Genomic DNA, 20139 nt, shown 5'->3' on the forward strand with positions numbered 1-20139 from the left:
GTGATTCTCCTGCCTCAGCCTCCTGTGTAGCTAGGACTACAGGCACGTGCTAATTTTTATATTTTTAGTAGAGACAGGGTTTCACCGTGTTAGCCAGGTCTCAATCTCCTGACCTCGTGATCTGCCTGCCTCAGCCTCCCAAAGTGCTAGGATTACAGGTGTGAGCCACCAAGCCCAGCCTAACAGCTACTTTTTAAGGCTTTTAGTTCATGCTGCCAAGTTGCCCTCCACTGACGTTGACTCCATTTACCTGACCACTGGCAAGGCAGAGTCACGTGTTTTCCAGCACTCTTGCCAACATTCAACTTTGTACCTTTTTTTTTCCTCGAAATGTTTATTATAGTAAAATACACATAAGACTTACCATCTGTGCCGTTTTAAGTGTATAGTTCGCGGCATTGAAAACATTGCTAATGTTGTGCACCTGTCACCACCATCCATCTCCAGGACTTTCTTCTAGTAAAACTCAACTTTATAATTTTTAACATTTGCCAATATAATGGGCAGTTATTTAAAATGTGCCTTTCTTTAACTGCAGGTAAGCTTTTTCTCCTACTTTTTCCTCTGGCACACCTTCATTCTTGAACCCCTCCCATTGGATCTTCTGGCTTTTCCAGCCTCTGGCTCCTCCGCTGTAGCTTTGATTGACACTTCTGTCACACCTTTAGTGTCCCCTCAGACAACATCACACATCCCCTATGTGTTTGTGATCTGTGTCCACGTGTCTACGTGTCTGTAGGTCTAGGACGTGCTTTCTGTTTAACCGTCACCAGCTGCTCCAGGTGGAAGGCCTTCCCTCTCAGGCTTACCCCAGCCAGCCTCAGCATCCTCTCGGGTGATTGCAGCCTCACTGAAGACCATCCCCCAGAGGCCTGCGTGCTGGAGAAACTGTCCCTGGCCTCTTTCCCATTGACCTGGCTGGTGCTTCCATTTGAATGGTGTCTCTGTCTTCCTACTAGCTAGTGAGCCCTTGGAGGATGGACGTTTCATCTTCTCCTCTTTCTTCTCTCTTCCTCCCCTTCTACTCTTCCAGCCCCCAGAATTTAGCATAGTGCTGTGAATATAGTGTTGCTTAATAAATAAATGTCTGTAGGAATTAAGTTGGCATTCTGGGGATGGAAAGCATAAATAATTTGGAGGTAATCCTTTCTTTCATTTGTTCTATCATATTCTCACTTAGTATTTTCTTCCTGAAAATTATGACTGTGGGGCAACTGTTGTATTTCTGAGTTCTGCTTTCAACCCACCACCAAAAACTAAAGTCTCCACTTGGAAACTGTATATTTTCAGTCATTAAGAGGTTTTCCCACCTTGCCCATTGTGTTCCAATGGAACTTTTCTGCAGGGATGGGAATGATCTTTATGTGAGCTGTCCACACAATGCCCAGGGCTGCATGTGGCCATGGAGCATTTGAAATGGGTCTAGCGCAACTGAGAAGTTAAGTTTGTTTGATTTCAATTAATTTAAGTAGTCATGTGTGGCTAGTGACTACCATATTGGAAAACACAACTGTATACATCATAGAAATGTCAGCTTGGCTGTGTGTGGTGGCTCACGCCTGTAATCCCAGCACTTTGGAAGGCTGAGGCATGTGGATCACTTGAGGTCAGGAGTTTGAGGTCAGCCTGACCAACATGGTGAAACCCCATCTCTACTAAAAATACAAAAATTAGCCAGGTGTGGTGGCACATGCCTGTGGTCCCAGCCACTTGGGAGGTTGAGGCAGGAGAATTGCTTGAACCCGAGAGATGGAGGCTGCAGTGAGCCAAGATTGTGCCACTGCACTGCAGCCTCCAGTGTGGGTGACAGAGCAAGACTCCGTCTCAAAAAAAGAAAGAAAAAATAAAAAAAGCATCAACTGTTAGCAAAGTATTTTTAGAAAATTTAGAGACATATTTTGATTTTTCCCTTTTTATAAGCATCTTAGAGCTAAAACTCTGCTTATCAGGCTAATTATTATATATCAAGTGATTAAATGCCAGGACCATTTATTAAGGCTAAAATTTGGACTTAAGACTTTTACTAATCCACGAGTAATCTACCCATGACTGTTCATGACTATCCCAAAGCTGGATGTTGTCTGTCTCTGGGCCCTGTGTGCTCGCATGCGCGTGTGTGGTGTGTGTGTGCGTGTGTGTGTGTGTGTGCGCACGTGCACGCATTTACCAAATGCAGGTGTGTCCTCCTACTCAGAAGTTTGCATGTTAGTAACATCAAGTCATAGATGCTTGCTGAAGTCACCACATTTGAACAAAACCAAACTGGGATGGAGACTATAATATTAATTTCTGTTTTTCCTTCTCCAGAAGGTCAGTGCACCAGATATTCTGAAACCTCTCAATCAAGAGGATCCCAAATGCTCTACTAACCCTATTTTGAAGCAACAGAATCTCCCATCCAGTCCGGCACCCAGTACCATATTCTCTGGAGGTTTTAGACACGTGAGTCTCATTCCAATGCTCTTTTTTTGTTTTTTTGTTTTTTGTTTTTTTGGAAAGCATAATGTACAAGTCCTTATTTCAATTACTCCTATTTGAAGGTCCTTATTTTTGGAGAACAGCAAGGCATTTTATTATCCATCCTTCCATTCCTTAAAGGCTTCCACAGGTTTTAGTAAAGTTGCGTTATCCTCAGGCCTGTGTCTTGGAGTTACTCCAGGTGTGTCAGCAGATTCATTATCAATCCACTCCACCAGTGCTCTGTAGCTTTCTATAATGCAGCATTCTGCAACTCGCGTAAACAGATAGGGCAGGAGGGCGCCGGTCAGCTTCTTCCAAGTGGTTGGAGCTGCGTTAGGCATGCAAGCCACTGACAGTGTCGCAGTCCACGTGTGTGTCCAATCTCATGTGTTAAAATCTTACAGGATCAATGTAGTGAAACATTAGTTCTTTCCAGAATGTAATAGTTATCAAAAATTGAATAGTCAGTTGAAGATGTTTTCTGTCACTTCCTCCCTTTGCCTTCATAGCACAAGCTATAAAAATCACTGCCATACTTAGCAAAGCTGAATATCCCTACACCATCTGTCAAAGAGGCCTGTCCAAAGACAAAATTTCAGGAGTCTCTTGGGTAAAGATCAATCATTGTTATCCCCATGACACAGGCGTCTTCAGGTTTCTTCTTTTTTAAGAACTTCAAGATGTCCCCTGCATGAACTTGTAGGCTTTGTTTGTGAATTATCATTGGCTCTAAAGGAACACCTCATTGCAGAAACAGGAACCAGTTCTAGGAGGTTTGCTCTCAAGCCGTAGAATTATGCCTCCCAATAGGCCTTGAGCCATTTCATAGATTCTTCATTGATAATTCTGGTGTTTCCTAGAGATCCAGCGGACTGAATATAAATACTCATTTGTCTGGAGAGAGTGTCTTTCTGTAAGGGCCACTGAAGAACTGTTCAAAGTCTTGGGGAGCCTCTGGATGGGAAGTGATCTAATATGATTGGGAATGCAAAGTAATGGGTCCAAAGAGATCACTGGCTGGCTGGAAGCCTTCGTTCATTCAGCACTGTTTTCCCCAGCATCTAATTTCCCATACTGTGACACAAGGCCTGGGATCTTTGAGATGGAGATGTTTTCAGTGTCTGTTCAGAGTGCCATACTGTTTGCATAATGACAGATCTCTTCTGTTAACATCGTGTTCCTAGGTTGAACTTTCTTTTTTTTTTTTTTTTTGAGACAGAGTATTGCTCTGTCACCCAGGCTAGAGTGCAGTGGCGCGATCTTGGCTCACTACAAGCTCCGCCTCCCAGGTTCACGTCATTCTCCTGCCTCAGCCTCCCAAGTAGCTGGCACTACAGGCGCCCGCCACCACACCCGGCTAATTTTTTTGTATTTTTAGTAGAGACGGGGTTTCACCATGTTAGCCAGGATGGTCTCGATCTCCTGACCTCGTGATCCACGTGCCTCGGCCTCCCAAAGTGCTGGGATTACAGGCGTGAGCCACCATGCCCAGCTGAACTTTCTTTATTTTAATTTTATTTATTTATTTATTTTTTGAGATGGAGTCTTACTGTGTTGCACAGGCCAGAGTGCAGGCTGGTGCCATCTCAGCTCACTGCAGCCTCCGCCTCCCAGTTCAAATGATGGTCATGCCTGTCTCCTGAGTAGCTGGGATTACAGGCGCCCACCACCACGTCTGGCTAATTTTTGTATTTTTAGTAGAGATGAGTTTCACCACGTTGGCCAGGCTGGTCTCGAACTCTTGACCTCAAGTGATCTGCCTGCCTCGACCTCCCAAAGTGCTGAGATTACAGGCATGAGCCACCGCACCCGGCCTAGAACTTTCATTCTTCCTTTTAAATGGGTCAAACAGGTGTTCGGCCATGAGGCTTTATTAGGAAGAAGGCATCCTTCTGAGGTTTTTACCTTATAAGGATGGACATAGCTGGGCCTGGCCGGAAAAGTGTTGTGGAGGGAATCTTCACCCACCAGGCCTCGAGGCCACCCGCCCACCTCCCATGGCCGTTCTCATGTGCGTGTCTCATCCAAGTACTCTTTTTTTTTTTTGAGATGAAGTCTCCCTCTGTTGCCCAGGCTGGAGTGCAGTGGCACGATCTCAGCTCACTGTGACCTCCGCCTCCCAGGTTCAAGCAATTCTCCTGCCTCAGCCTCCCGAGTAGCTGGGATTACAGGCATGAGCCACTGTCCCCAGCCCCAACTACTCTTGATATGTGCGGCATGGTTATGACATCAGTAGACAAGGGGAGGGATGAGCTGTCGCCTTGTGAGAGAAACTGGAATGTGACAATAGAACTTGGAAGTGATATTTTACTTAGGTTGGGATTTGGGGAAACCCTTGCTATACTTTGAGAGTGGTTTTCTTTTTTACATCTTATGATGAACATTTTCATACATATGGGAGTAATAATAAATATTGGTGTCTTTTGATTTTGTGTTTTTATAATTTTGATGAAGTCTGATTTGGCAGCATGTTCTTTTACGGTTAAGTCTGTGTCTCGTCCATCTGCAAGTCATGAAGATATTCTCCCATGTTTTCATCTAGAAATTTAGAAAAGTTTAGCTTTTACCTTCAGGGCTGTGCTCCAGCTCGTTACTATTTTTGTGTGTGAGTGAATGGTGTAAGGTAGAGATTGGGGCTCATTTTTTTCCATATGGATATTTAGTCAACCTAATACCACTTGTTAAAAAAAAAAAGAAAAAAAAAGACTGTTGTATCCCACAGTGACTTTGGCATCTTGGTTGGAAATCAAATGTCCACATAAGTGTGGATCTCCTTATGGACTCTCTGTTCTGCTCCAGTGATCTCTTCGTCTGTCCTTATGCCAAGACCACACTATCCTGAGTACTGTATCTTTGTAGTAAGTCTTGAAGTTGGATATTATAAGTCTTCCAATTTGGTTCTTCTTTTTCAAGATTGCTTTGTGATGTTTTAAATGTATTCTCTGTGTATAGGTAGGCATTTTAATTCATTCGTTCATTCATTTGTTTATTAAAAAACATTAAGGCCGGGCGCGGTGGCTCATGCCTGTAATCCCAGCACTTTGGGAGGCCAAGGCGGGTGGATCATGAGGTCAGGAGATCGAGACCATCCTGGCTAACAAGGTGAAACCCCTTCTCTACTAAAAATACAAAAAATTAGCCGGGCGCGGTGGCGCCACTGCACTCCAGCCTGGGTGGCTAACATGGTGAAACCTCGTCTCTATTAAAAAAATATAAATAAATAAAACACAAAAAATTAGCCAGGCGTGATGGCAGGCGCCTGTAGTCCCAGCTACTCAGGAGGCTGAGGCAGGAGGCTGAGGCAGGAGGATGGAGTGAACCTGGGAGGTGGGGCTTTCTGTGAACCAAGATCACGCCACTGCACTCCAGCCTGGGCGACAGAGCGAGACTCTGTCTCAAAAAACAAATAAACAAAAAACATTGAGTGTTTACTTTTTTGCCTAGAATTGTGACGCATGGTATAATAGGTGGATTCTTGGGTGAGGGGCCATAATGCTTCAATTAACACTTGTGTTAGTCCATCCATGTTGCTGTAACAAAATATCACAGGCTGGGTAATTTATAAACAATAGAAATTTATTTTTCATGGTCCTAGACACTGGGAAGTTCAGGATCTCAAGGCATGGACAGGACTGGTGTCTAGTGGTCTGCTCCTCATAGATGGCTCTAAGTCTCTTCCTCACATGGTGAAAAGGATGGAAGGGCAAGAGGGTCCAGTGCTGTGTGCAGCCTCTTATAAAGGCCTGAATCCCATTCACTAGAGCCCCACCCTCATGACTTATTCAGTTCCCAGAGGCCCCACCTCTTCATACTATCACATTGGCAATTACATTTCAACATGTGGATACTTGGATCTTTCAAGCTGCCTGCTTAGCCCCTTTCCAAGTGTACTGTACTTTACTTTCTTTTTCTTTTTTTTTTTTTTTTTTGAGACAGAGTCTCGCTTTGTCACGTAGGCTGGAGTTTAGTGGTGCGATCTCAGCTCACTGCAAGCTCCGCCTCTCTGGTTCACGCCATTCTCCTGCCTCAGCCTCCTGAGTAGCTGGGACTACAGGCGCCCGCCACCACGCCCGGCTAATCTTTTGTATTTTTAGTAGAGACAGGGTTTCACCGTGTTAGCCAGGATGGTCTTGATCTCCTGACCTTGTGATCCGCTCGCCTTGGCCTCCCAAAGTGCTGGGATTACATATATAAGCTACTGCACCCGGCCAACGTTTTTTTTTTAAAGTTTCCTTTTTTTTGTTAAAGGATAATAATAAATGTTAAAAATAATAATTTCTTTTAAAGACTTTCTTCAAGCCTCCTTGCTTTGTGCTCATAACTCTTTGTTAAGCCCTATCCTATGTAGCTGTTAGATACAAAGGAATAAGTACATTCTGTGTCCTTGTACTTTAACCAAGATATTTGTGCTGAATATGCTCACAGGCACATTCCAGCTTGCAGCCTATGCCCCTTCCTTATTTGGAAATACTACTTTTCTAAGTCCTTTTGCAAGCAACTTCCTCTTTTCCTTTGTTCTCTATTGCCTATACCTATTTTTAAAAGTTTTAAATTATTAGCCAGTCAGGTTTTAGATTGTAAGGTCTGGCTCCAGCCAATGGAGACAAAACACAGCAGCGGGGACAAGCTGCGTAAAGGATAAAAATTGCTTCCCTCCATTGTTCAGGTGTGCTGTCGTCATTGTTCCATCTGTAAGGAGCACCCTTTCTGCAGAAAGTAAAATTGCCCTGCTAAAAAAACTTTTTGTCTAAATGCTAATTTTTCCTTATAGTAGTAAGGAACAAGCATTCTGTTTCTAAATAAACATTTTACTTATAACAAAATGGTGGCCCGTACGGGGATACACTCCTCCAGGGGCGGTCTCTAGTCCTCTCTCATGAGGAGGCGCCCCACTGCCTCGTTGCGGTGGCCTCTGGGGTAAGGAATCGAGACCCACCCTGTGTGACGAATAAACCTGGACTCTCAGCAACGCGGAAAGAAAGCAGCCAGTAACCTGGAGTGCAGGGTCCTCACATACCACGCGGGCCAGGTAACCTCATGCATAAGACAAGGAAGGAAATACCGGAGGAGCTGGTAAAATATTTCCTTGGTGGTCAGGACTAAGGAAAGAAAAGCTGCGGGGCGGTAAAGCATTCCTTGGTTAGGACATACCTAGGTAAGAGAAACCGCAGGGGCGGTAAAGCATTCCTTAGGACTGAAGAAAGAAAAGCCGCCAGGGGGCGGGTCGGGGTGGGGCGGTGAAGTATTCCTTAGTCAGGATGTCTTAAGGGTTAAAAAGAGGTGAAAAGTCCCCATTAGGGGGGAGATTAAACATCACACAAACCTCCAGTAGTAAAAAAGATATTCGGGCCGGGCGTGGTGGCTCACGCCTGTAATCCCAGCACTTTGGGAGGCTGAGGCAGGTGGATCACGAGGTCAGGAGATCGAGACCATCCTGGCCAACAAAGTGAAACCATGTCTCTACTAAAAATACAAAAAATTAGCCGGGCATGGTGGCGGGCGCCTGTAATCCCAGCTACTCGGGAGGCTGAGGCAGGAGAATAGCTTGAACCCGGGAGGCGGAGGTTGCAGTGAGCCGAGATCACACTATTGTACTCCAGCCTGGGCCACAGAACAAAACTCCATCTCAAAAAAAAACAAAACAAAAAAACTAAAAGTCTTTTAGCACAGGTCCTACCCCTAGAATTTCCAGCACAACAGCACCACCCTGGGGACCACGTCCTCATCAAAAAATAAAAAGAAAAAAAACTCAAGCTAGCCTAGGAAGGACCCTACCTTGTGCTGCTAACCACCAAGACTGCCTTTGCACAGCAAAAAAAGGATGGACACATCATACCCAAGTCAAAAAAGCATCATCACCTTCAGAATCATGGGCCATTGTTCCAAAGTTATCTCTCTTTTTCTTTTCTTCCCTTTACTTCCCATCTTATAACTAATTTTTGTTGTCGTTGTTGTTGAGATGGTGTCTCGCTCTGTCACCCAGGCTGGAGTGCAGGGGTGCAATCTCAGCTCACTGCAAGTTCTGCCTCCCGGGTTCACGCCATTCTCCTGCCTCAGCCTCCCAAGTAGCTAGGACTACAGGCGCCCGCCACCATGCCTGGCTAATTTTTTGTATTTTTAGTAGAGACGGGGTTTCACCGTGTTAGCCAGGATGATCTTGATCTCCTGACCTCATGATCCACCCACCTTGGCCTTCCAAAGTGCTGGGATTACAGGCGTGAGCCACCGTGCCTGGCCAACATAACTAAATCTAACTCACCTCAAGTTATTACTTTTAATGCCTGTTTAATTATGCCTTATAAAGATTTACATAACCAAAAACAGCTTACTACTTCAGAAAAATATCTCTGTCCCTCTTGGACTTCCTCAAATTAGGAAGACATAGTAAGTTCCTTTAAGAATACTAGTAATCCAGAGAATAGTAGCTGTATTAGTAAAAATCAGACTCTTGTCCTTCTGAAACAAAATCTCTATGTTCTGCTTAGTCTAATGTCCTATACAACACTAAAGGTTTAAAATAGACTGCTTCCATAGGTCTTTGTCAGTCCTTAAATCCATATATCCATTTCACCAAAAGAATTACTCCTTCTAGTTGTCAATCTCCTTCAACCACTCCATCAATCACTCCTCCCAAGCACAAGGACAAGACTGAAGTCTCTATAGTAAAGGTGAAAAACCTAAGGCAAACGATAGCAATGAAGACAAGGTATCAAAATATAAATGCCTGGCTAAAATGGATTAAATATTCCATCCGCACTCTAAATAAAAGCGACTGTTACGCGTGTGCGCACGGTAGGCCAGAGGCCCAGCTTGTCCCCTTTCCACTCGGACAGTCCTCTAATCGACAAGACGTAGACTGCATAGTAGGTCCTTTTCAAAATCCCACAGCCTAGGATAGTAAACTGTGCCAGACTCTCTCTGCTATTTCCTAAAGTGCAGTACCCTGCAGGTCAGCCCTCAAGGGCCATCCAGCCTCCATCTTCCAAGACCAGTTTTACCTCGTGTCTCCAATGACGAAGGAAAAATTTGGCGTACCTTAAAGACTTAATAGGATGCAGTAACGTCAGGCACTTCCAAGAGCTAACCCATCAGTCCACCCTTATTCATCTCCAAGTGAACGTATGTTAGTATTGTAAAAAACCTTTACTAGACACTCTGCCAAATAATTAAAGCAGTACTTATGCTGTAGTTCAATTGGCTATCCCTTTTACCCTGGCATTTCATCAACCAAAAAAACTCTTTCTTTTAAAAACTCAAGCAAAACAGCTAAGCCAAAACATGTTTTAAAAGTTTAAAAAGAAAAAAAAAAAAAACACTGTAAAATCAAAAGGAGGGAATTGTAGAAAGTAAAAAGTTTCCTTTTCAGTTTCCTTTCTGGTAATAATAATAATGTTAAAAATAATAATTTCTTTTAAAAACTAACTTCCTTCAAGCCTCCTTGCTTTGTGCTAATAACTCTTTGTTAAGCCCTATCCTATGTAGCTGTTAGATATAGAGAAATAAGTACGTTCTGTGTTCTTGTACTTGAATGAAGATATTTGTGCTGAATATGTTCACAGGCACATACAGCTCGCAGCCTATGCCCCTTCCTTATTTGGAAATATTATTACTTTTCTAAGTCCTTTCACAAGCAACTTTCTCTTTTCCTTTATTCTCTATTGTCTATACTTTTTTTATTTTTTATTTTTTGAGATAGAGTCTTGCTCTGTCACCAAGGCTTGAGTGCAGTGGCCCAACCTCAGTTCACTGCAAGCTCCGCCTCCCAGGTTCACGCCATTCTTCTGCCTCAGCCTCCCTAGTAACTGGAACCACAGGTGCCCGCCACCACGCCCGGCTAATTTTTCTGTATTTTCAGTAGAGACAGGGTTTCACTGTGTTAGCCAGGATGGTCTTGATCTCCTGACCTCGTGATCCGCCCTCCTCGGCCTCCCAAAGTGCTGGGATGACAGGCGTGAGCCACCGTGCCCGGCCACCTCTACCTATTTTAAAAAGTTTTAAGTTGTTAGCCAGTCAGGTTTTAATTTAAATTGTAAAGTCTGGCTCCAGCCAGTGGAAACAAGACACTGTAGCAAGGCCAAGCTGTGTAAAGGATAAAAATTGCTTCCCTCCATTGTTCAGGTGTGCTCTCGCCATTGTTCCATCTCCAAGAAGCACCCTTTTGGCCGGGCGCGGTGGCTCACGCCTGTAATCCCAGCTCTTTGGGAGGCCGAGGAGGGCGGATCACGAGGTCAGGAGATCAAGACCATCCTGGCTAACACGGTGAAACCCCGTCTCTACTAAAAATACAAAAAAATTAGCCAGGCGTGATGGCGGGCGCCTGTAGTCCCAGCTACTTGGGAGGCTGAGGCAGAATGGCGTGAACCTGGGAGGTGGAGCTTGCAGTGAGCCGAGATTGCGCCACTGCACTCCAGCATGGGCAACAGAGCGAGACCCTGTCTCAAAAAAAAAAAAAAAAAAAAAAGAAGCACCCTTTCTGCAAAAAGTAAAATTGCCTTGCTAAAAAAAACCTTTTTGTCTAAATGCTATAGTACCAAAAAACAAGCATTCTGTTTCTAAATAAACATTTTACTTATAATAGGGGTGGAGGGGTTGGGATGAGACTGTGCCTTCATAGACAGCCAGTGGGCCAGTTTCTACTAATCTGCCCAGGGTCCCACTAGATTGGAGTCTGAGCTCCTTCAAGGGCCAGAATCACATCCTTGTAGCCCTAGAAACCAACACATAGCCAAGTACGTGGGCTTGGATCCACCCCATGACAGCCGGTGGGATCCTGTGTGACCTGCCCACCACTCTGGCCCGACCTCACCAGCTCTCACCTACCCCATCGCTCATTCCACTCAGCTGCAGGGCCACTGACTGGTGCTGGGACCCCCAGACACATCCCACCTCCAGGCATTTCTGTACCCTTCCCTCCCAGACATCACAAGTCATGCAGTCCCTTCCTTTAAGGCTTTGTTCCAAGCCACCTTCTCAGGGAGCTCCCCCTGCCCCACTCCCCCCACCTGCTCTATGTTAATCCATGTCCTCACCACCCCGACATGCTATAGAGTTGGCTCATCTGTTGGGTATTGTCTGTGTCACCTCCCCACTAGACTCTAATTCCCAAGAGCTGTATCCAACACTTAAATGGCCTCAATAAATGTTTGTTGAGTGATTGGGTTAATCCTAATCATAGTTACCATTTATTGAAAGCCCAAGGCAGGTGCTTCACAGCTCAGTCATTCTCACAAAGATCTTGTTATGGAAGGTGCTGTTATCCCATTTCACAAATGAGGAACCTGAGGTTCACAGAGTTTAAAGCGACTTGCTGAGGTCCTGAGATGACTGTAGAACTCTGATTCAAACCAGGGGCCTGGGGAGTCCATACCGGGGAGTCCAGGCTTTTCACACTATCCCACAGGCGTTTTGTACTCTTACATTGAGCAGTTTTCCTGACCCATGCTGCCTGGTTCAGCCTCACTCACTCAGGGCCAGTCCACACGTAGAAGCAGGGAACCAGGATGCTAGCCTAGGGAGAGGTGGGGTGAGCAAATCCATCTTAGTCCCTTTGCTGCTTAGGGACTTTTTGTTGGAAAACAAAAATTTGTTTTTAACAGCCCCATCAGTGGCATATGAGATTATGCAATTCCCCATATACTCATTAACTTTGAGTATTAATCAGATTTTACACATACACACATGGATGATGTTAATTTTATAATTATTAACTATGCCTAACTAAATCATAGTGCAAATTCAGTAGGGCTGTCTATTCTCACCCATTTTTCTAAAGTTTTCTCTGATTTGTGCCCTTAAAATTTATAATCATGTTACTATGCATTGAATCGTAACCTGTTCCCTTTAGGCTGAAGCAGCATTTATTTGAGGAAACTGAACTCCCACAAAACAAACCACTGATTATTGCTTCTTGCTAAAGGTGTTGCCTTCCCTTCTGAGAAATATTTACATTCTCTGAGAAACAAGGATCGGAGTAAAAACAAAAAACAAAAAACCCAGCTTATTAAAATTCCACTTATTACAGAAGTATAAAGCCAGATCTAGACAACAAATAGGGAAAATCATTTAACCTCCCAAGTAGGCAAATCAGTGCAAAATTAAAGCAAGCTGTTATTTTGGGACCACTTTAGTAAATTTTAAAAATAATAGAGCTCCGTGTTGGTAAGGTGTAGGGTAGCAGGCGTTCTTACAAACTGCAGGGTGAGCAGAAACTGTTACAACTTTTCTAGAGGGCAATTAGCAGTAGATGTCAGAAGCTTTTACTTGTTCTCTTTAGTTGAACTCTCTTTAGTTGAAGAACTTCAGTCACAGGAACTACTCTTTAAAAATTATCATGAATGTTGGCCAAAATGTGCATACATAGATGTCCCAGACAGCATTGTTTATAATTGTTTTAATTTTGAAAAACTGTCAACAACGGCCGGGCGCGGTGTCTCACGCCTGTGATCCCAGCCTTTGGGAGGCCAGGGCGGGTGGATCACAAGGTCAGGAGTTTGAGACCATCCTGGCCAACATAGTGAAACCACATCTCTACTAAAAATACAAAAAATTAGCCGGGCGTTGTGGCGGGTGCCTGTAATCCCAGCTACTCGGGAGGCTGAGGCAGGAGAATGGCATGAACCCGGGAGGCAGAGTTTGCAGTGAGCCAGGATCACGCCACTGCACTCCAGCCTGGGCGACAAAGCGAGACTCCTGTCTCAAAAAAAGAAAAACTGTCAACAACCAAAATGTCAAGAGAAAGTTAAATTATGGAGAATGTGCACACAGTATTATTCTAACTGTATAAATTTCAAAATCAGGTAAAACTAAACAGTAGATTGTTTGGGGGATATATTCATGTATAATAAAACCATTGGCTGGATGCAGTAGCTTATGCCTGTAATCCCAGCACTTTGGGAGGCCAAGGCGGGCGGATCACCTGAGGTCAGGAGTTTGAGACCAGCCTGACCAACATGGTGAAACCCCATTCTACTGAAAATACAAACATTAGCCAGGCATGGTGGCAGGTGCCTGTAATCCCACCTACTTGGGAGGCTGAGGCAGGAGAAATGCTTGAACCTGGGAAGTAGAGGTGGCAGTGAGCTGAGATCGTGCCATTGTACTCCAGCCTGGGCGACAAGAGCGAGACTCTGTCTCAAAAAAAAAAAAAAAAAAGTAGAAAAAGTAAAACCATCAAGAAAATCAAGGATGATTAACAGACAGTTTGAAATAGTGTTTCCTGGAGACAGGAATGAGAGGGGATTTGATAAGGGAGGAGGAGTTCTGGGGCACTTCTGAAGTCCTGGCGATGTTATTTTTCTTAAGCTGAGAGTGGGCATGTGGATGTTAATTTTATAATTGTTTAATCCTATATGTTATATGTACTCTTTTGTTATACATTTCATGGCAAAAAAAAAAAAAACAACGAAAAATCAAATGATTTGCTTAGCTTACAAAGGTCATCCACATTTTGTGGCATTTTTAAAAGGCTGATAATCACTAAGCTTACCATGCATAGGCATGGTTCTAAGTCTTTTTCCGTGTGTTAACTAATTGAACTTCACCATGACCCTATGAAATAGATCCCCATTTTACAGATGAGGAAGCTGAGGCTCTGGAGGGTAAGATAATTGGTCAAGATCACACAGCCACTAAGTGTCAGGGCCAGGCACTGGAAGGCTGCTGTGTGGCCTCATCACTCACCATCTTAACCACTTTGCAAAAATGTTCTCAGTGTGTTCTTATCAGGATTTATTATTTTTAATTTAGCTGTGGCTTCAGTTGACTCTGAGTTTTCTGCCCTTGTGAAATAAAAGGGCATGAAACTTAGCTTGCAGTTACAGGAGATACATTTGTGACCTTCAGAGAAAGTCACTGGCAGAAGGCTCCCTGCCTGCCTTGAGTTTTTCCTTTGCCGTTACCCAGATTGACTTTCTTTCAAACCCAGACTGTGCCAATGGCTTTAATAAAAGTCAGGCTGAGTTTTGGGTTGCGCTTCTGGGCCAGAATCTTTTGGTTGACTCCATTTGCTGCATTCAACTTGTAACCTGCTCAAAGGCTCTGTTCTGGCTCCAGAGAGAGCAGAACCAGGAGCCCTGCCAGGGCGATGGTGGTGGAGCCATGAGTCGCCTGGGAAGGAACGCATTTGATGGATGGACGTGCTCTGCTCTCCTTTCATTATGAGGGTGTATCCTCCCCGTCCCTGCTCAGCAGACACAGCGGTTGAACTACTCAGAGACATGAGCATACATTATGGCCCAGAGATTTAGGAGCCCTGGTCCACTTTCAGGTCTGCTTCTGATGTGTGATGCAATTTGGGGCATGACTCAACCTGCCTTGACCTTCGTTTATCTACTTATAAAATGATGAGTAATGACAATGCTTCCTGGATGCTTTATAATTCTGGGTGCCAACCTGGACAAGCGCAGCTGTGCCCTTTCTTTCTACCTGCACACCAACAGCTGCACACCCAAGGAGCAAAGTGCATGGCAGGGCAGCCCTAACCCCAGGACACTCACGCCTGCATGCTGGAGATTAGGTCTGCCCTGTTGTGTTCCCAGGTCCACTGTGCCCAGCACTGCCCAGCAATCCTGATGTCTTTGCCTGATTAACACAGTTTTTTTGCTCTCCACAACAAACATTTCACACCTCCTCCAGTCTTTTCAAACCTGCTCTTCCTCCTCACTCTCAAATCTCCCTTTTTACTCTACCAAGAAAGAAAAGAATCAGTTTGAAATTTCCCAATCCTCCTGATAGCAAAATTAACCAACCGCATTTGCACCCAAGTGACTCTTCTTTCCCCACCCGCAATAGAAGAAGCTGATGCCTGCAGCAATACTTGGGATCCTGCCCTCCCCTGCCTTCTCTGTTCCTTATTCTATTACTTGTCCTTCCTCTCTCTTACGCATTCAGCCTCTACTTACCTGGACCCTGAAACACATTCAAGTCTCCTGTAATAAAACACCTTCACTAAACCTTCCATTCCCCTCCAGCTACCACTTTTCTCTCCCCACCTCAGCTAATCTTTTTATTTTGTTTTGTTTTGAGATAGAGTCTCGCTCAGCTGCCCAGGCTGGAGTACAGTGGTGCTATCTCAGCTCACTGCAACCTCCACCTCCTGGGTTCAAGTGATTCTCCCACCTCAGCCTACCAAGTAGCTGAGATGACAGGTGTGTGCCACCGTGCCCAGCTAATTTTTGTATTTTTAGTGGAGACAGGGTTTCGCCATGTTGGCCAGGCTGGTCTTGAACTCTTGACCTCTAGCGATCCACCTGCCTTGGCCTCCCAAAGTGCTGGGATTACAGGCGTGAGCCACTGCACCTAGCCCCTCAGCTAAGCTTTTATTAGTTGTCTGCACTTGGCATTCCCACCTTTCCCCTCCCACTCACACAGCCCTCCCTGTCTGGCTCCCTGCAAAAGAAGGCGCCGTCTCTTCCTGCCCTTCTGTACATTCATATTTCAGCTGTGTCTCATCTAAATAGCACAGTCAGATGTTTTTAAAAATCCAGTCATTGACTTTTTTTGTAGTATGTAACCTGTTCTAGTTTATTGTAACTACTTTTTTCTCCTGTGTTACTGTCTCTACCACCTTCTTTTCATCATTCTTTTTGGATTAAACAAGTCTGGCTTCTATCATTTCTGGTGGGCAGTAAAATGGTTAAATCTTACTGTTGATTCCATCATAGGTAACAGATCCTTTTTTTCTCTACCATTAAGATTTTCTCTTTGTCTTTGATTTTAAGCAATGTTATTATGATGTACCTATGTATAGTTTTTTTAAAAAATATTTTCCTCTTAAATCTGTGGTTTATTGTCTCTTGTTAGTCTTTAGAAATTCTTAACCATTATCTCTTCAAATATAGCTTCTGCCCGATTTTTCTCTATATGAGAGTCCAAACATATACTTTTTCATTATGTCCTGTATGTCTCTCTCCCTCTATCTCTCTCTCTCTGTCTCTTTCTCTCCCTCTCCCATCTTTCTGAGATGGGGGTCTCATTCTGTTGCCCAGGCTGGAATGCAGTGGCACAGCCCTAGCTCACTGCATCCCAGAACTCTTGGGCTTAGCAGGAGCACCCACTCACTATGTTGTGCAGACTGGTCATGAACTCCTGGCCTCAAGCAGTCCTCCCACCTTGGCCTCCCAAAGCACTGGGGTTACAGGCATGAACCATGGTATTTGGCCCTGTATGTCTCTTATACTCTTTATTTTTCATTCATTTTTTCTCCTCTGTGCTTCACTCCAAATATTTTCCATTGACCCATCTTCCAGTTTACCAATCCTCCCTTCAGCTTAGTCTGATCTTATGTTAATTTAATTTGTGGAGTTCTTCATTTCAGTTGCCTTACTTTTTAGGCAACTTACTTTTTTTTTTTTTTTTTTTTGAGTTGAAGTCTCACTCTGTCACCTAGGCTGGAGGGCAGTGGTGTGATCTCGGCTCACTGCAACATCTGCCTCCTGGGTTCAAGCAATTCTCCTGCCTCATTCTCCTGAGTAGCTGGGATTATAGGTGTGCACCATCACACCAGGCTAATTTTTGTATTTTTAGTAGATTCAGGTTTCACCATGTTGGCCAGGCTGGTCTCAAATTCCTGACCTCAGATGATCTGCCTGCTTCGGTCTCCCAAAGTGTTGGGATTGCAGGTGTGAGCCACCATGCCCAGCCAAGGCCTTAATTTCTATTTGATTAATTATTATAAATTCTAGTCCTCTGGAGAAATTTCTATTTGATTCTTTATTATATATTCTGGTTCTCTGGAGAAATATATTCTTTTCATATATTTTCTTGACCATATTAGTTACAGTTATTTTAAAGTTTATATCTTTCAGTGCCAGTATCAGGATCACCCATGAGTCTATTTTTATTGTGCATTTTTTCCTCTTTGTTTTTGGTCACTTACTCTTGGATCTTAGACTTAGGATGACCAACCATCCCAGTTTACTCAGGACTCGCCTGGTTTTGGCAGTTCAAGTCTTGCATCCCAGGAAATTCCTTAGTCCTAAGGAAACTGGGACACTTGCTTACTTTTTAGTCCTGGTATGCGTGGCAATTTTTTACTGAATGCTGGACATTGAGTATGAAAAACTGGGATAATTTGAGATTCAAAAATATTAGGTTGCTAGAAAAGTCCTTGTGGTTGGACCGTGAATTTTATATAATTATAACTTGGCTCAAACACATCTTTATTAATAAAAGTAGGATCCATTACAATCAACACATTTTTGCCAAAGAGAAATGAGTTTGTTTATTCCTGTACCATAAAAATCTGTGCTTTGGGATTCAATGAACTCTTGGAAAGCATTTTCTGCATCCTTCTGGTTGTGTTTTCCCTGCACAAAGTTCTCACAATGCTTGAAGAAGTAGTAGTCTGTTGGCAAGAGGTCAAGTGAATATGGCAGATGAGGCAAAACTTTGTAGCCTGATTTGTTCAACTTTTGTTTTTGTTTTTTGCTTTGAGATGGAGTCTCGCTCTGTTGCCCAGGCTGGAGTGCAGTGGTGCCATCTCAGCTCACTGCAACTTCTGCCTCCTGGGTTCAAGTGATTCTCCTGCCTCAGTCTCCCAAGTAGCTGGGATTACACAGGTGTGCACCACCGCGCTCAGCTAATTTTTGTGTTTTTAGTAGAGACAGGGTTTCACCATGTTGGCCAGCTGGTCTCGAACTCCTGACCTCAGGTGATCCACCTGCCTTGGCCTCCCAAAGTGCTGGGACTACAAGCGTGAGCCACCATGTCTGGCCTTGTTCAACTTTTGAATTGTTGGTTGTGTGACATGCAGTAGGGCGTTGTCATGGAGAAGAATTGGGCTCCTTCTGTTGATCAATGCTGGCTGCAGGCGTTTCAATTTTTGGTGCATCTCATCAATTTGTTGAGCATACTTCTCAGATGTAATGGTTTCGCTGGGATTCAGAAAACTGTGGTGGATCAGACTGACAGCAGACCACCAAACAGTGACCAGGACCTTTGGTGCAAGTTTGGCTTTGGGAAGTGCTTTGGAGTTTCTTCTCAGTCCAACCACTAAGCTGGTCATTGCTGGTTGTCATATAAAATCTACTTGTTGTCACACATCACAATCTGATTGAGAAATGGTTTGTTGTTGTGCAGAATAAGAGAAGACAACCCTTCAAAATGATGATTTTTTTGACTTTCACTCAGCTCATGAGGCACCCACTTATCGAGCTTTTTCACCTTTCCAATTTGCTTCCAAGGCTGAACAATCATAGAATGGTCAGTGTTGAGTTATTCAGCAACTTCTCGTGTAGTTGTGGGAGCAGCTTCGATGATTGCTCTCAATTGGTTGTTGTCATCTTCCGATGGCCGCCACTACGCTCCTCATCTTCAAGATTCTCATTGCCTTTGCAAAATTTCTTGAGCCCCTACTGCACTGTATGTTTTGCTGGACCAAATGCATTGTGGATGTTGCGGATTGTCTTTGCTGCTTTATGATCCATTTTGAACTCGAATAAGAAAACTGCTCAAATTTGCTTTTTGTCTAACATCATTTCCATAGTCTAAAATAAACATAAACAGCAAATAATCCATTATTAGCAAAAAAATAAATAAAGCGAGAAATGCCCATTAAAATGATGTATAACATAACCACATTTATTCAAGAATGTATTCCAATATCAAATAGCAAATTCCAACAATGCAAAAACTGCAATTATTTTTGCACTTTTATTATGCTTCATAGAGAATTTGCTTTTGCTCTTAACACACAGAGTGGAGGCAAAGAATCTTTATCTAGTCTGAGGCTGAGCTGATTCAAAACTGGGTTTCCATTGATGAAGACAGGTCCATTTCCAGATGACTCTTCCTCCTAGTAAGGAAGTCTTTGGAGGATCCCAGCTGAAGGTCTGGATATTTACCAAGCCCCTTCCCTGTGATAAGCCTGAAGGCCAGTTTTTTCCTCTCTAGTAAGATGAAACTGCTGGAAGCATTTTTTTTTTTTTGCTTTTTTTTTTTGAGATGGAGTCTCGCTCTGTCACTCAAGCTGGAGTGCAGTGGTGTGATCTTGGCTCACTACAACCTCCGCCTCCTGGATTCAAGCTATTATCCTGCCTCAGCCTCCTGAGTAGCTGGGACTGGACTACAGGTGTGTGCTACCATGCCCGGCTAATTTTTTTATTTTTAGTAGATATGGGGTTTCACTGTGTTAGCCAGGATAGTCTAGATCTGCTGACCTCCTGACCTCATGATCTGCCCGCCTCGGCCTCCCAAAGTGCTGGGATTACAGGTGTGAGCCACTGCGTCCAGCCAGCTGGAAACATTCTTAAGCTTCTCGGCCCCTCAGCCACAGCTTCCAGTTCAGCAAACGCCTTGAGGAAAAGGCAGCATCTCGGTACTCGTGGATTTGCCCTGTCTCTGGGACCTTAGCTCCTCAGGTTCCCCATGACTTCGTAGCCTTGAATGCTGATTTTGCCCCCCAGTCCCGTTAGACTGCTGAAAACTCTGCTGAGCTTCTGAGTCTCTTTGCCATTTCATTTTGATTGACATCTTGGCCGTCCAGCCCTTGGACGTGCAGCGGTAGTGATTCAATGTGCTCCTGATGCAAGGAGAGTCAAGCAGGTCAGTAGGATAGAATCAAGTCCTGTGTTGCTTACACAGGGACTTATGCCTTGAAGTGAAAGGCAGCTCCGGATGTCAGGCTTACTTCCATGTGCTTCTCTTCAGCATCTTGGCCCCTTGCATCCTGGTGGTCTTGGC

General features: G+C 44.1%; 1 protein-coding gene and 1 pseudogene across 26 annotated transcripts in view, besides 3 other annotated features; one reads left to right on the forward strand and one right to left on the reverse strand.

Moving 5' to 3' along the window:
- Positions 1–20139, forward strand: part of SYTL3 (synaptotagmin like 3) — a 119936-nt gene that overhangs the window by 78260 nt on the left and 21537 nt on the right. For all 26 annotated transcript variants that reach the window (XM_006715606.4, XM_047419556.1, XM_011536254.3 and 23 more), the window contains one exon: positions 2308–2442. In XM_006715606.4, the coding sequence (XP_006715669.1) occupies positions 2308–2442 (135 nt within the window). The remainder of the gene's footprint in view (positions 1–2307; positions 2443–20139) is intronic.
- AMZ2P2 (AMZ2 pseudogene 2) lies at positions 2495–3608 on the reverse strand (annotated as a pseudogene).
- Positions 6886–7386: an enhancer, noted in NCBI's record as "H3K27ac hESC enhancer chr6:159151113-159151613 (GRCh37/hg19 assembly coordinates)". NCBI's record gives its function as "activates a minimal SCP1, AML or CMV promoter by ChIP-STARR-seq in primed H9 embryonic stem cells {active_cell/tissue: H9 hESC(primed)}" and the evidence as "EXISTENCE:reporter gene assay evidence [ECO:0000049][PMID:30033119]".
- Positions 6886–8165: a biological region, named in NCBI's record as "P300/CBP strongly-dependent group 1 enhancer GRCh37_chr6:159151193-159152392".
- Positions 6966–8165: an enhancer, noted in NCBI's record as "P300/CBP strongly-dependent group 1 enhancer chr6:159151193-159152392 (GRCh37/hg19 assembly coordinates)". NCBI's record gives its function as "activates an origin of replication core promoter dependent on BRD2, BRD4, P300/CBP, MED14 and CDK7 cofactors, with strong dependence on P300/CBP, by STARR-seq in HCT116 cells {active_cell/tissue: HCT116}" and the evidence as "EXISTENCE:reporter gene assay evidence [ECO:0000049][PMID:35650434]".

The sequence above is a fragment of the Homo sapiens genome, chromosome 6 (assembly GCF_000001405.40).
Source record: "Homo sapiens chromosome 6, GRCh38.p14 Primary Assembly".
In the NCBI taxonomy this organism is placed as follows: domain Eukaryota; kingdom Metazoa; phylum Chordata; class Mammalia; order Primates; family Hominidae; genus Homo; species Homo sapiens.